We start from the raw sequence: 16,130 nt of genomic DNA on the forward strand, positions 1-16,130 counted from the left end.
ATGCATGGCCTCCCTCTTACCCAACTCTACTCCTAGGAAAGAGTCAGAGACTCATGCCTGTCAAGAAAGCAATAGCCACTGTCAACATTATCCTTGTCATAGGATTTTACATTTTTAATAGAGATCAAAGTTGTATGCTATGGGTCTCATTTTTCTGTGAGGAGAAGGAACTAATGTTTATTGACATGAAGCATTAAAATCACTTGAGATTGGAGGGCTGTGTTAGTGAAGTCCCTTTGCTAGTGAAGTTAGTGGAGTAGGGTGGAGTTGGGGAGGTAGAGAGGAGCACATGTTGACAGCAAAGACTAAGCACAGGAGCAGAAACACACTTCTCATTGAGGAAACCAGAAAACCCTGAAGAATGTGATAGGACAGATGGGGGAGAGGACAGTACCAGGAGCTTTGAAGAGATAAAAGATAAGGCTTGAAGATATTCTAGTTAAGGAACCTTGTGCAAAGCTTAAATAGATGAAGCTAAAGAGTGGAATTTCATAATTTAGTTAGGACTAGGGAAGGGCTTTGGGAGTCTGGATCTGCTTAGAACCCCTTGACTTACCTGGCAGATTATGGATACTGGGTTTTGGTAGAATTCAAGAGGAAAAAAAGAACTAGAAGTTGAAAAATCATAAAATTGTTGGACAGGTCATAATGTGTGTGGTAGAAATTGAGTTGGATGATCTTCAAAGTCTTTTTCAATTCCAAACACTTCTGGGTTTATGATCATTTATATACAATTAGTTAGCCAACATCAGATCCTTCATTAGCACTCAGCATTTTCTCATAAGAGTCTTTTCTATAAATTAAGTATAACTTTGAAAAATCTAATACCCATAGCTAATCATTTTAATGTGACACTGTTCTGTACTTTCTTCCTTTTTCTAAAAAGACAAAGTCAATCCAAAAAGCTCTCAAAGGAAATTAAACTGGATTCCATCATTTCCTACCTATGATTACTTCAACCAAGTGACGCTACAGGTAAGAGGGCTTTTGTTCTTTGATTACTTCATATGTTGAATACATGTAATAGAAGACAAAGAATAGTGTTTGTCAAAGTGTGATTAGGAGATCATATGCATTAGAATCAACCAGGGAGCTTGATAACTTAAATCGTCTGAATCAGACTCTCAAACCTGTTAGGGCCGGGAGTTTGCATTTCTCTCAAGCTCCCTGGATGCTTCCTATGCCAACTGAGTTTTGAGAACCACTGATTTTGAGTGACAACAAACACAAACAAGTCTTCGCATAGGTTAGTGGCAAGTTAAGTGGTTATCTGGTAGACTAGTTCAACATAGATGGTTATACTCTAATGAATTAGCCTTCAAGTAGTTTCTCCCCCCTCAAGAATGTAAGGTGTTTATAGTTTCTGTCTCCAAGAGAACTGGTTAGTTTCACAAGCCACAAACTGCACTCTGAAGAACCATATTCCTTTGAGTGGGACAGACAGGGATACAGATTTTGCCTTTGTCCCTTACTTGCTGTATGTCTTGACTGAATTACCATCTCTGAGCCTTGATTTCTTTCTCTTTAAAATGGGTAAAAATTATCTTTATCTCATTGAGATGATGTGAGAATAAAATAAAGTGAACATGTGTAAAATATATAGTACAGCGTTTGGCAATATTAGACGCCTGGAAATTATCCGTCCAGTCCCTTTTCTCCTTCAGTACTGGCTGACCACCCAGCACTATGACCATTAGTGGTCATAAAGGTGTGTGAGAAAGGCATTGTGTGAGTGAATCTTTTCAAACCTATCCCAATGTTAGGGGCAAAATTCTGACTGTGAATGAATGGAGCCATATTGTAATATTCTACTTCATTTTTCTTCCTTTTAAGAAACAGACTCTCACTTTTTTTTGTGACACAGGGTCTCACTGTGTCATCCAGGTTGGAGTGCAGTTGTGTGATTGTGGCTCACTGCAGCCTCAAACTTCTGGGCCCAAGCAATTCCCCCAACTCAGCCCCCAAAGTAGCTGGGACCAGAGGTGCACACTACTATGTTCAGCTCATTATGTTTCATTACATCTCACTCTGTCACCCAGGCTGGTCTCCCAAGCTCCTGGGCTCAAGCGATCCACCTTGGCCTCCCAAAGTGCTGGGATTACATGCGTGAGCCACTGCACCTGACTCTCTCTCAATTTTATTAGAGGTTTTGTTTTAGGAATCCTATACACAAATATTTGCTAAATAGAGGACTTAAAATGTGTTATGTGAAATCCTGTTACCAATTTTATGAAACCAGATGCTTATTTGAAATATTTTAGAAGCTAGACAAGGTATAAATACACCCTAGAGGGATAATTATGTTCACAACTACAGAACATATGGCATTCAAGTGGAAGGATCAGAATTTCTTGGGTAATTCCCTCCTTTCCACTTTTTTCCCCTCCATTAGGCTTTAATAACTTCCCTAGAAAAGTCTGTTCTTTATTCTTTATTCATGAAGTTTTTTCTTGAAATAAACAAGCCCAGTCTGGCTAATCAGAGCTGACTTCAACCAGGGAGATGGAAACATCAGGGAATCTGAGAAGAGGGACAGTAGAGGGCTCTTTCTCTTCACTTTCCAGTTTCATTACAGCTTTGGCCATTCTTTTGAAGCATGAAAGAAAGCGGGGTTTGGAGGGCAAGAGAGCAAGGTGACTTTGTTTCTTATGGCTTGTATTTCAGAGCAGTGACTTAGCTTTGGATGTTTCCTTCCTGTTTGCCATACTGTTGGTCAAACGTAACAGCCTCCTGACATCTGCATAACAACCTACACTGTGCTCTCATGTAGAGTAGCCGATTTCATCCTCATAAGAAGCCTATGATTAACTTAATAATGATGTTGATCCCTTTTACTGCAGGAAAGAGGAGACCAAAGCTGGGAGAGCTTGCACCTTGCCCAAATCCAAGACCTGTTGAGTAGCACAGCCGAGTAGCACACCATGTTTTCTCACTTACACTCCAGCCCATGGGGGTCCAGACTAACTCAGAGCAAACCGTCTCAGTAGAGAATGTGGTAATCAAAATGCCAAAAGCAAGCAGACATACAGAAAATGAGTAGAGAAGCAAAGTGCCTTACCAGATCTGCCTAGACTCTTTTCTGAACCTATGTGTTTGGGAGGTCACTTCAGGCATGTGGCAATTTTGGATGTCATCTTTTGATGTCTAATGGGAAATAGCAAACACCCAGTTTTAAAAGTTTTTACTTAAAATTTTATCTTACAAAAATATACATAACATATAGTAACACTTAAAAAAATAGTACAGGTGACACCGAGCTTAAGAAATAGAGCATTACCAGATCCTTTGAAATCCCTTTGTCGTAATCTTCTTCTTCCACACCACTTCTTCCCTACTATTTCCTGAGTTCTGTATCAATATTTCTTTGCTTTGCTTTGTATTTTTAGGACATGTGTATGCATCTCTAAGTGATATGTTGTTTTCTTTTGCATGATTTTCACCTTTATATAAATGGAATTATATTGGATGTATTCTTCTCTGACTTGATATTTTTGCTCAACCTTTCTTTTTCAATTCATCCATGATATTGCATGTAACTCTAGTGCATTCATTTTTACTTCTGTATTCTTGTTAGAACATACTACACAATTACTTACCCATTTTGCTGTTGATGGGCACTAGAAATCTGTTTTAGCTCATGCTCCTTAGGAAGTAGAGGCTGAAGCAAAATTTATATGCTAAGGTTTTAGTGGGATATGCAATCTCAGGATAGCGAGGGTGAGGGGGAAAGTAAGGCAGGGAAGAAGGGAACTGAAATATAGGGTAGTTTATTACCAAGCTGGATAGAGCTTCACAAGAACACACAGCGGGTTGTTCAGTCACTCTTAAAACTATGTAAAAGGCACCACACCTTGAAATAGTCTGTATAGGGGAGGAAGGGAAAATACTGTATCTACCAGTTCCTTTCTTTCTCCTGTCATTAGTCAAAAGTCACACCCAGGATGTTAGCAATTCTGTCCTTTGGGTTACCTGGCTTTTCTGGAAACCCAATGGGGAACCCAGATCCCATGCTCCGAGGTGGATGAAGTTACTGCCTTCATGAATCCAGTCCCTTTGGATGGATACTGAAGCACCTAGTGCTGGCGGAGTTAGGAGACTAGGTTGGGACTGCAAAAGCAAAGCTAACATCCCTGGCTTGATTGAGGGTGGGATGGGGTATGAATCTTGAGGAGGCGCATAAACTGAGTCTGGTATAGCTGTAGGTTTTTGTTATTGTGAGCAGGTTTGGTTTGAACGTTTTTGTTCATATATCCTCTTCCATATAAGCAAGAGTGTTTCTAGGTGTATGTCTAGGAGTGAGATTGCTGGAGGGTAGGGTGGAGTGGTAGGGTCGCTCCCTCTACATGAAAATGACAATGCTTTTCAAGTGACTCTGTTTCACTGTGTATTTCACTGTTCTTTTATATTCTTAGTAGTAGTGGATGAAAGTTCTTATTGCTCCACATCCTTGCTAACAATTTATTGTCTAATTTTTAAATTTTTGTCAATTGGGTGGGAATGGAATGGCGTCTTGTTTCATTACAAATGACAATGAGCCTCTTTTCACCAATTTTGAGGCCACTTGTGTTTCCTCTTCTATGAGATGCTTGTTTCTAGCCTTTGCTCAGTTTCTTATGGTATTGTTCTTTCTAATTATTCATATGTTGGAGATTTTTAAAATAGATTCTGGAAACGAATCACTTGCTAGTTATGTGTTGCAAAATTCTTGTTCTAGTTTGTAGCTTGCCTTTTCACAATTTAAGGTGACTTTTGACAAATTATTAATTTTAAAGTAATCAAATTTACCAATCAAAGGGTGTTTACTTTCCTGTTTAAAAAATCCTTACCTACCACAAGGTAATAAATATATTCTCTTATATTTTATTTTAAAAGCTTTAACGTTTTATCTATTATATTTAATGTGTTCATACTTTTTGAGTTATTTCTTGTGTATGCCATGAAGGAGAAACATCACAAAGATAAGAGAATATTCTAAACTAGTGATTTCATTCTTTAATGATGATGTGATTGGTTATATTTTTTACTTCTTCCCAAGTCACTTTTTGCAATTTATATGTTTTTAAGACTTGCTTTCAAATTTATTGGCATAAAGTTGTTCATAATATTCTCTTATCTTCATAATGTCTAAAGCTTCTGTAATGATATCCACTTTTCACTCCTAATATTGTTTGTGTTTTTTGCCCCATGATTCATCTTACCAGAGGTTTGTCGATTTTAATGTTCTTTTCAAAGAATTGACTTTTAACATTCTTGATTCTGTCCATTGTGTCATTATTTTTTGTTTTATTAATTTCTGCTCTTATTTTTATTATTTACTTTTTTCTACTTTTTGGGGTTCATTTTTTGTTCTCTAACAATTTTAGATTATTTAATTCATTGATTTGTAACCAATTTTCTTTTCTAATATATACATTTAGGCGAAGATTCCCAAGTGTTGTTTTAGCTGCTTTTCACAGGTCTCAATAAATAGTGTTTAAAAAATTATTCTATTATAAATACTTTGTAATCTCCATTATTACTTATTATTTGGCCTATTTTTTTATTACGGTAAAATGTATATAACACGAATTTACCGTTTAATCACTTTTAAATGTAGAATTCAGTGGCATTAAGTACATTCACATTATTGTGCAACCATCACCACCATCCATTTCCAGCTTTGAAAATCTTGCGTAACTGAAACTCTGTACTCAAACAATAACTCCCCATTCTCACTTTCTCCCAGTTCCTGGTAACCACCTTTCTACTTTCTGCATCTATCAATTTGGCTATCCTAGGAACTTCATATAAATGGAATCATACAGTAATGTCCTTTTGTGACATGTTTCGCTTAGTATAATATCTTCATGTTTCATCCATGTTGTAGTATGTGGCAAAATTCTCTTTCCTTTTAAGGCTGAATAATATTTTGTTGTTTGTTACGCATTTTGGTTATACATTCATCTGTTGGACACTTAGATTGTTTACACCTTTTGGCCATTATGAATAATGCTTCTGTGAGCATAGGTGTACACATACCTGTTTGAGTCCCTGCTTTCAGGGTGTTTTTTTTTTTTTTCACTATACACTCAGAAGTGGAAATGCTGAATCACATGATAGTTCTATGTTTAGTTATTTGAGAGACTGCCGTAGAGTTTTCTATAGCAGCTTTGTCATTTTATACTACCATCAATAGTGCATAGGGGTTTCAATTTCTTCATATCTTGTCCCAAAACTATTTGTTTTGTTTTAATCATAGCCCATCCTAATGGGTTTGAGGAGTTCATGACTTTATACAAATAGAGAATCCTGCTTCAATTATTTGGGCTTCCTGAATCTTAAGATTGGTGTATTTTATTACTTCTGGATAATTTTCCACCTATATCTCACTGAGTATTTCCTCTTCTCTGTTATATTATCTCCTTCAGGAACACTGATCAGACATATGTTGGACTTTCTGATTCTCTTCTCCATGAAATGAATTTATCTTATTTTTCCATTTGTATCTCCTTGTGTTACATTCTGAGTCATTTCCTCAGCTCTTTCCAGCTCAAAAATTTTATTTCTGGCTGTGTTCTAACATGCTACTTAACCTATACATTAAGTTTCTAATTTTGATGACAATATCATCTATAGACATTTTGTTTGATTATGTTTTATATCTCACGAGTCAGTTTTGAGTCTCTTGTTTCTTCATATTTCTAGTGCCCTGTGTTATTTATTTAAGCCTATTAAGCATACTTATTTTGTATTCTGTATCTGATAATTCCAATAAGTTATTTTTAAATATGATTCTTTATTTTATTATGTCTGTTGCCTCTTATTCGTAATGCTTCATCTCTTCCTGTGTTTTATTTTTATTATAAGCTCATATTATTTGTAATTTTATCTACATGAATTCTTTGAACCCTCACTTTAAAATAATTCTCTAGATGTGATTTTGATTTCCTTTTATTAGACATATGGGGTCAGGATCACTTTAAACTAAATATTAGACTTTGGTTGTTGAGGGCCACACAGGTAGTATATGAATTCTAGCTCCAAGTTTGTGTGAAGGTGGGCTTCTGCTTAGTACCTCCTAAAGTTGACTATTTTCTCTTTTCCTACTCTTCCCAGGATGGAGGCTGAGGCAGACATGCACATTCCCTGTCTCCTTTCACTGGATAAGATTTTTCTGTTTTACCTGTTGAAAGTGTCTCCCTTTTGGAGACCTGGCTTTGTACTGTGGTCTTTGATTTCACCTCCTACCTTGTACAGGCCTCGGCTTTGCTTTTGTCCCCCAAGCTCTAGGCTATCAGTGTTGGAAGATAGTCTCAAGGCAAATACAGGGTCTAATATTCTCCAGTGTCTTAATTCTCACAATCTAGTCATTTCTGATATCAGGTTATTTCCCTTACTTTACCAGTAGCTTGGTCCTGTTTTGAAAAATAAGTTTTAATCTATTTTATTCATCATTTTAGATATTCTCTACCAGGAGGCATTTGTCTGGCTATTGAATCCATCATACAGCAGGAAAGTGATGGCAATATCCATATTTATAAGGAGATGACTAACCTAACCACAAATGAAAGTGTCCTTAAAATATTTTTAACATTTTTGAAATTAAGTGTTCTTAAAGTGAAACAACCTACACATGGAAATGAATCTTCTTAGCTTGCATTGGAGAATTTCATGTTAATTGGGTGTACATTGAAATTTGTTTAAGTGACACATCATTTGATAAACATTTCATGCTTAAGGTTAAGTAGATTCTGTGTAGGAGGCAGAATAATGGAATTTTAATTAAGTCTGTGCCTACTTTATTGATATTTAAGGACTGGGGTGCATTTCAGTGTGCTATTATAATTATCTATGCATTTAGCAATAAAACTATCATTTTATTATTGTTCCACTATTTAATTACATTATTATTCTCTCGTCATTAGTTATTAGATGGCTTTATGATTACACTGAGCACAGATGGAGTGATCATTTGTGTGGCTGAAAACATCTCTTCTCTTCTTGGACATTTACCAGTAAGTTCTTTCTACTTTTGGGAAAGTGGATCATTCTGGTTTGTTGTTTAGGGGTTCATTATTTATTTTCTTTTTTTATTATACTTTAAGTTTTAGAGTACATGTGCACAACGTGCAGGTTTGTTTCATATGGATACATGTGCCATGTTGGTGTGCTGCACCCATTAACTCTTCATTTAATATTAGGTGTATCTCCTAATGCTATCCCTCCCCCCTCCCCCCACCCTACAACAGGCCCCAGTGTGTGATGTTCCCCTTCCTGTGTCCATGTGTTCTCATTGTTCAATTCCCACCTATGAGTGAGAACATGCGGTGTTTGGTTTTTTGTCCTTGCCATAGTTTGCTGAGAATGATGGTTTCCAGCTTCATCCATGTCCCTACAAAGGACATGAACTCATCCTTTTTTATGGCTGCATAGTATTCCCTGTTGTATATGTGCCACATTTTCTTAATCCAGCCTATCATGTTGGACATTTGGCTGGTTCCAAGTCTTTGCTATTGTGAATAGTGCCACAGTAAACATACGAGTGCGTGTGTCTTTATAGCAGCATGATTTATAATCCTTTGGGTATATACCCAGTAATGGGATGGCTGGGTCAAATGGTATTTCTAGTTCTAGATCCCTGAGGAATCGCCACACTGACTTCCACAATGGTTGAACTAGTTTACAGTCCCACCGACAGTGTAAAAGTGTTCCTATTTCTCCACATCCTCTCCAGCACCTGTCGTTTCCTGACTTTTTAATGATCGCCATTCTAACTGGTGAGAGATGGTATCTCGTTGTGGTTTTGATTTGCATTTCTCTGATGGCCAGTGATGCTGAGCATTTTTTCATGTGTCTTTTGGCTGCATAAATGTCTTCTTTTGAGAAGTGTCTGTTCATATCCTTCGCCCACTTGTTGATGGGGCTGTTTGTTTTTTTCTTGTAAATTTGTTTGAGTTCATTGTAGATTCTGGATATTAGCCCTTTGTCAGATGAGTAGATTGCAAAAATTTTCTCCCGTTCTGTAGGTTGCCTGTTCACTCTGATGGTAGTTTCTTTTGCTGTGCAGAAGCTCTTTAGTTTAATTAGATTCCATTTGTCAATTTTGGCTTCTGTTGCCATTGCCTTTGGTGTTTTAGACATGAAGTCCTAGCCCATGCCTATGTCCTGAATGGTATTGTCTAGGTTTTCTTCTAGGGTTTTTATGGTTTTAGGTCTAACATTTAAGTCTTTAAACCATCTTGAATTAATTTTTGTATAAGGTGTAAGGAAGCGATCCAGTTTCAGCTTTCAACATATGGCTAGCCCGTTTTCCCAGCACCATTTGTTAAATAGAGAATCCTTTCTCCACTTCTTGTTTTTGTCAGGTTTGTCAAAGATCGGACAGTTGTAGATACGTGGCATTATTTCTGAGGGCTCTGTTCTGTTCCATTGGTCTATATCTCTGTTTTGGTACCAGTACCATGCTGTTTTGGTTACTGTAGCCTTGTAGTATAATTTGAAGTCAGGTAGTATGATGCCTCCAGCTTTGTTCTTTTGGCTTAGGATTGACTTGGCAATGTGGGCTCTTTTTTGGTTCCATATGAACTTTAAAGTAGTTTTTTCCAATTCTGTGAAGAAAGTCCTTGGTAGCTTGATGGGGATGGCATTGAATCTATAAATTACCTTGGGCAGTATGGCCATTTTCACGATATTGATTCTTCCTACCCATGAGCATGGAATGTTCTTCCATTTGTTTGTATCCTCTTTTATTTCCTTGAGCAGTGGTTTGTAGTTCTCCTTGAAGAGGTCCTTCACATCCCTTGTAAGTTGGATTCCTAGGTATTTTATTCACTTTGAAGCAATTGCGAATGGGAGTTCACTCATGATTTGGCTCTCTTGTTTGTCTGATATTGGTGTATGAGAATGCTGGTGATTTTTGCACATTGATTTTGTATCCTGAGACTTTGCTGAAATTGCTTATCAGCTTAAGGAGGTTTTGGGGTATTTTCAGAAGCATAAAGCTCATCAGAGAAGATGTTTTCAATGTTGTCAAAATGTGTCCCTGTTTTATTGTCATTTCCATTGGTTTCAGAGTACTATAGATTGGGTGTCTTTGTAAACAACACAAATTTATATTTTATAGTTTTAGAGTCTGAGAAGTCGAAGATTAAGGTGCCAAGAGATTTGGTGTCTAGTGAGGGCCCAATCTCTGCTTCATAGACATCCTTATTCTTACTATAACTTCATATAGTAGAAGAAGCGAGGGAGCTCTTTTTTTTTTTTAAGATTGGGTCTCACTCTTGTCACCCAGGCTGGAGTGCAATGGTGCGATCTCGGCTCACTGCAACCTCTGCCTCCTGGGTTCAAGTGATTCTCCTGCCTCAGCCTCCTGAGTAGCAGGGATTATAGGCACGCATCACCACGCCTGGCTAATTTTTGTATTTTTAATAGAGACGGGGTTTCACCATGTTGGCCAAGCTGGTCTCGAACTCCTGACCTCAAGCGATCCGCCCATCTCGGCCTCCCAAAGTGCTGGGATTAAAAGCGTGAGCCACCATGCCCAGCCTAGGGGTTTCTTTTATAAGGATACTAATCCCATTAATCATCTCCAAAGGCCCCACCTCTTAATATAATACCATCACATTGACAGCTAGATTACTTCAATATATAAATTTTTGGGGGACATAAACATTCAATCTGTAGCAAGGCCTTCATATTCCACTTATACGTGTGTTTGAAGAGGGGTTACCTAGAATACATTTACCAACAACCCTCCCACACAAACTGTCTGCCATTGGCATGGTTGTGTTAGCAAAAAGTTTTGGGAGAGGATATGAAGAAATTGAAACCCCTATTCACTAATGGTAGTAGTGTAAAACAATCATATCTCCGTTGTTGTTTTCATTACATATTCCTCATTCCACAGAGTTGTCTCAAGAACTTGACAAACCCTAATCCAGAAATCTATAGTACTCAAATTTGGAACATGGAAATTAATAGAAGCTAGGTTAGATTATCTTGTAGTTAGGTTGGAAGTGGATTAAAAATATGTCACTATTTTAGCCAGGCCAGTTGGCATGTTCCGTGGCCTTCTTGGAAGCTCAGAGTCCTTATACCCTTTTAAAAAAAATTACAGATGCTAGAATCGATCTCTTTTATTTCTCATTCTCTTTCATTTTTTAAAAAAACAGTTTACATTTCCAAATTCAGCTTATATTTGTAGGATACCAAAACAGCTAAATGAAATAGTAGAGATATTTATTGGATTGCACTTTAGTATATTTAAATCATAGAAGGAAAAGAGTCTTTTAAAATATATATTAAAAGAGGGAATGTACGAGTATGATCCACTACAGCTTAAATTTTATTATAATGAAGACCAGAAAACCACCCAAATTCTTGTGGCATCAGATATTGCTTAAACCAAATTGGTCATTGGCTGAGACTGGTGACTTTTTCTTATTATGTGAAGATTTATCATAGTGATGGTGTTAGTTATGATATGATCTTGCTTCTTTATGTATTTGGTTCAAAGTTTTCCCTATCAAGAAGCTCTTTCACCCTTCAACATTTGAGGTACCACACACACACACGCCCCCCAAAACCACAAGGTCTAGAGAGGTGTCTGGGACATGTGCTTTGAACTGCCAGCCTTAAACAATAGACTTGATTTACCTGAGATCAGTGTACTTAAAAATAAATGTATAACTATTACATTTGTACATAAACATTAAATGGGAATTAAGTTATATATTCCTATAAAACAAGGTTAAAAACGACTACACCTGAGGCATAGTTTCACACTTCCTCATTGAATCCCAACTGTTCTTAATTTTTCAAAACAGGCAATCTTTTTCTCAGGCTTTGATTAAAAATTTCATTTTATAAGTCATCCAACTTATATTATAAAATGGAGACTGAACCATTTCTAGAGTGTCTGCGTGGCTCCAGGAATCTTCAGTTTCATTACATATCAGGGCACCTCTGTCTATGGAGCAACTCCAAACTAATAGCATGGTGTGATGGAAAGAACTTGGTCTTCGGAATCAAATAATCTAGAGATTAAAATTTAGCTTTGTTTCTCTCTAACTGCCTGACCTTTAGTTTCTCTTCTATAAGTGGGGAAATAATATTACTTAGAGAGTGCTGGGAGATGAATTAGTATAAATAACGTGATTGGCTAAGGCCCATCTGATCAGTGACATTTATACAGAGACCTGAATGGAGTATGTGTGATATGCAGGTAACTGGAGCAAGTGTCTTTCAGACAGAGGAGGAAGCTTATGTAAGAGCCTGAAAGCAGGAAAAGGTACAGCAAAGAGGACAGTGTAACTGGAGTGCTGTGAGCAAAAGGAAAATAGAGATGATAAAGTCAGAGCAGTAACAGGAGAAGTAACATCCCTTTTCCTCTGAGATGGGAGGAAGCCATTGGGGAGGTTGGAGCAGATGAAAGAAATGATCTAACTTAAGTTTTATCAGAATCGCTTTGGCTGTTATGTCAAGAATTGGCTATGAGGGGCAGGCATGGAAGTACAGAGTCCACTTGGAGGGCCATAGATGGTAGTGGGTTGGATTAATGTGGCAGTGGAAGCATTTTGTAGGTAAAATAAGTTGTTTTGCTGATGTATTGGAAGAGGGGTGTGACACAGAGATAAGATGTGTCCAAGTTATGCTGTTACAACACATACCATGAATAAAATGATGCCCATTATCATCATGATCATGGTATTAAACTTTTATCTGAAACCTGCCATCATATTTTCCCAATCATTGATTTCATTGACAGTTTTTTTTTTCCTTTGGAAAAACTCATAGTCATTTGTAGTAGTAAGTTCCAGTCACTGCCCCCTGTTCTTAGCAGCCTGCCCTCCTACTCACCCTACTCTGTCATTCCCCCTGAAAATAAAATCAAATCTGGGAGTTTACATATATTTATTCTCTTTTGCAGTTCTAAAGCAAATGAAACTTTTAAAACGTACACTACATCTGAAAAAATTCTCAGCATTGAATCTTTAAGAGATTAAAACTTAGCAGGTTTTGAACATAGGTACATGGTTAGTTTGTGATAACTGTGATGAGATTTGCCCTATTTTCCCTGAGAAGCTTACCGCATAGTAGAGATTTAGTAGTGATGAGTCTCATTTGATTTGAGATGCTGCCTAAATCTCCTGCAGAGGATCTTATCCTTCCCTGTGCCCTATACAGTTGAATAGTTTTCTAATGCATGTATAATATGAGTGTCTTTGGCAGGAAAAAAGATGCTTCTTGCCTAGGTTCTCAGTAAATGTCATGAAGTCCTCAGTAAATTTCTTAATTCTTTCTTTTTTTGACGTGACTGAGACTCACCACACTAATATTTGTGTGACAACTAATAGATATTTGCAAACTTGGCTTTTGAAAAACCACCTTAGTTTTTCGCTGGTATTTATCCTTGCTTCATTAAGCTCTAAGTACCTTGATCTTTCTACCTTGTGTAATAAGAAGAGCAAATGCTAAAAATTTACAAAAATAACATGAGGTCGATCATGCTTTCAGGTCTCCTCCCTTTTTCTAACTAAGGAACAAGGCCACTGGAACAGATCCAGTGTTTCAATTAGCGGTTAATTATAAGGCTTATTGTCACTATTCCTATCCCTAGAGAGGCAATAAGAAACTCATTACCACTAGTCACATCCAAGAGAATGTAGACTATCAAAAGATAGCTCACTTTGAACTCTTTTAAGTGACAATGCTATCTTCATTTTTCAACTAATGAAAGAACTTACGAGACATAGCACTTTGTACCTCTTGTTAGGGTATTATTTTATACTCTACATCATAATTGATTGTGCATATTTAATCTGCCCTACTAGACTATGTGCTCATTGGAATTCGTTGTCAGGTTCATCTTTTGTAACCCTTATAAGAAATAAGTATAAAATCTTATTCAGTGAATTACTTCATGTAGAATGTCCAAAATACAGGAACTGGTCCAGTAGCAAATTTTCTGTTCCTGATGCAAACTGGACTTGAGGCAGCTATGGTGTAGTAAAAGGAACAATAGACATGGAATTGGATGGAGCTTTCATGTCAGTTTCATTTCTGCATTTCTGAACTCTCAACAATTGGAGAAGCCTTAATTTGCTGATGAATAAAACAAGGGATAATTCTTACTCTCCCAGGGGATTAAGTGAGCTTGTATATGTGAACATACCTAGAACAGTGACTGGCATGGAGCAATTGTTTATCGTGTGTTAGATGAGTGAATGAATGAGTGGTCTCCACAGAGGTAACCCAGTTTGGCATCTAAAGTCTATTTTATAACTAAACCAACAAAAGTGTTTTTATTGAAAAGTTAAATTTAGTGAAAAAAATCTACATTTCTTTTGGGAAGTCAGTATTTTACTGTGTGACTTTCACTGTCAAGATGTATTGCCTGTTAATTCCATAATGTTTTGTTTGCTAGATTAAGGTAATATTTCTATCCTTAATCAAGCCAAGCTTGATTGAGACAGCATCTGTCTGCTAATTTGATCATTGACCAGTTCATAGGCTGGCTTCTACAAATGGGCCATAAAGATATATTTCTAAATAGTGACTGTAGATTATTAATGCTAATCAGTTAAAAAATCATTGGAATTTGTGGTTCATCACACAAAGCCATTATTCAGCTACAAGGAATACTTTATTACTTTGTTGCTATCACATTAAAGCCTCATTACTTCTATATCTGATATTCAATTTATCCATGTCTCACCGTATTTCAGCTACATGATACGGTATTATTCATTCATTCAACCAATATTTACTGAGTGCTTACCAGTGCCAAGCTCTGTTCTAGGTGTTGAAGATATAGCAATGAATAAGACAGGCAAGGTCTCTGTTATACTGCAATTTACATTTTAATGGGGAAGGTAGATAATAAACAGATAACAAAAAAGGCAATAAGAGAATGTCAAGGAGTTGGTGCTATGTAAAATACTTTTGAGTAAAGACCTGTATTAAGTGAGAGAGAAAGCCATTGCAAATATTTGGGAACGAGTGCTTCACATTTCAGGAGGAGTTAGTTTAAGGGCTCTGAGATGAGTATTTGCTCTCATTGTGTTTGGATGTGAATGAGGAGTTGGGTGTACCTGGAGTGCAGTGAGAGAGAGAGAGAGAGAAAGCAGATAAGGTCAATAGCAGCAAGGAACCAGAATATAGAGTGGTGAAAGCCCTTATAAAGACTTTGGCTTTTATTCAGAATGACTTGGATAATCAGTAGAAAATTTGGAATGAGCATAGGAATAGCATGATGTGGCTCATGTTTGGAAAGAATCATGCTGGCTGTTCTATAGAGAATGGAGTGGTGGCAGGGGCATGGCAAGAATAGATGCAGGGAGAGCAGTTACGGCTACTGCAGTAATCCAAACTGGAAATGAGACTTGGACCAAGTGGCGAAAAGTGAACTGAGCCTGTATGTGTTTTGAAAATTGATCCATTAGAGATTGCTGATGGACTGGATATTGAGTTTGAGAGATAAAAGGCAAGTCAAGGACAAGTAAATGGGTAAATGGTGGTTGCCATTACTGATATTGGGAAGACCGAGGGAGGAACATATTTTGTCAAAGAAAAGATCAGTTCTTTTTGGATATCTTAAAGTTGAAATCCGATTAGACATCCAAGTTGAGTTATCATGGGGGCAAGAGACGACTATCTGTGAGTCATTAACAGATAGGTGGTATTTAATGAGATGGAAGTGGAAGAGACCACGTAGGGAAACAGGCCTAATGACTATAAGCCCTGGCACTCCGATGCCTAGTATTCAGGAAGCAAGACTAAGATCTAGCAAATTGTGAAGGAGTAGCCTTTGAGGTAGAAGTATATCCTCATGTGTGTGGTGTCCTGGAAGTCAAGTAAATGTATCAAGGGAAAAGGAAGGATCAATTGCATCAAATGCTGAGACGCTTGGTAAGATGAGGGCTGAGAAGTGATGATTTGATTTGGCAATATGGAGGGCACTAGTGACCTTGACAAAAGCAGTTTCAGTGGAGTGGAGTGGTTAGATATAAACTTCATTAGTGTGGTTTCAAGAAAGAGCGAGAAGTGAAGAAAGGGGAGGTAACAAGTGTCGTTTCATTTCAGGAATTTTTGTTCCAAAGTGGACCAGATAAGCAGAGTTATAATTGAAGTGAGAGGCGGTAATGTAAAGG

General features: G+C 37.3%; 1 protein-coding gene across 2 annotated transcripts in view; it reads left to right on the forward strand.

Annotated features, from left to right (window-relative positions):
• The window catches only part of PASD1 (PAS domain containing repressor 1), a 113,065-nt gene that overhangs the window by 40,085 nt on the left and 56,850 nt on the right, over window positions 1-16,130 (forward strand). For both annotated transcript variants that reach the window (NM_173493.3, XM_011531102.3), the window contains exons 3-4: window positions 887-975; window positions 7,905-7,994. In NM_173493.3, coding sequence (NP_775764.2) covers window positions 887-975; window positions 7,905-7,994 — 179 coding nt within the window. The remainder of the gene's footprint in view (window positions 1-886; window positions 976-7,904; window positions 7,995-16,130) is intronic.

Source organism: Homo sapiens, chromosome X (genome assembly GCF_000001405.40).
Source record: "Homo sapiens chromosome X, GRCh38.p14 Primary Assembly".
NCBI lineage: Eukaryota > Metazoa > Chordata > Mammalia > Primates > Hominidae > Homo > Homo sapiens.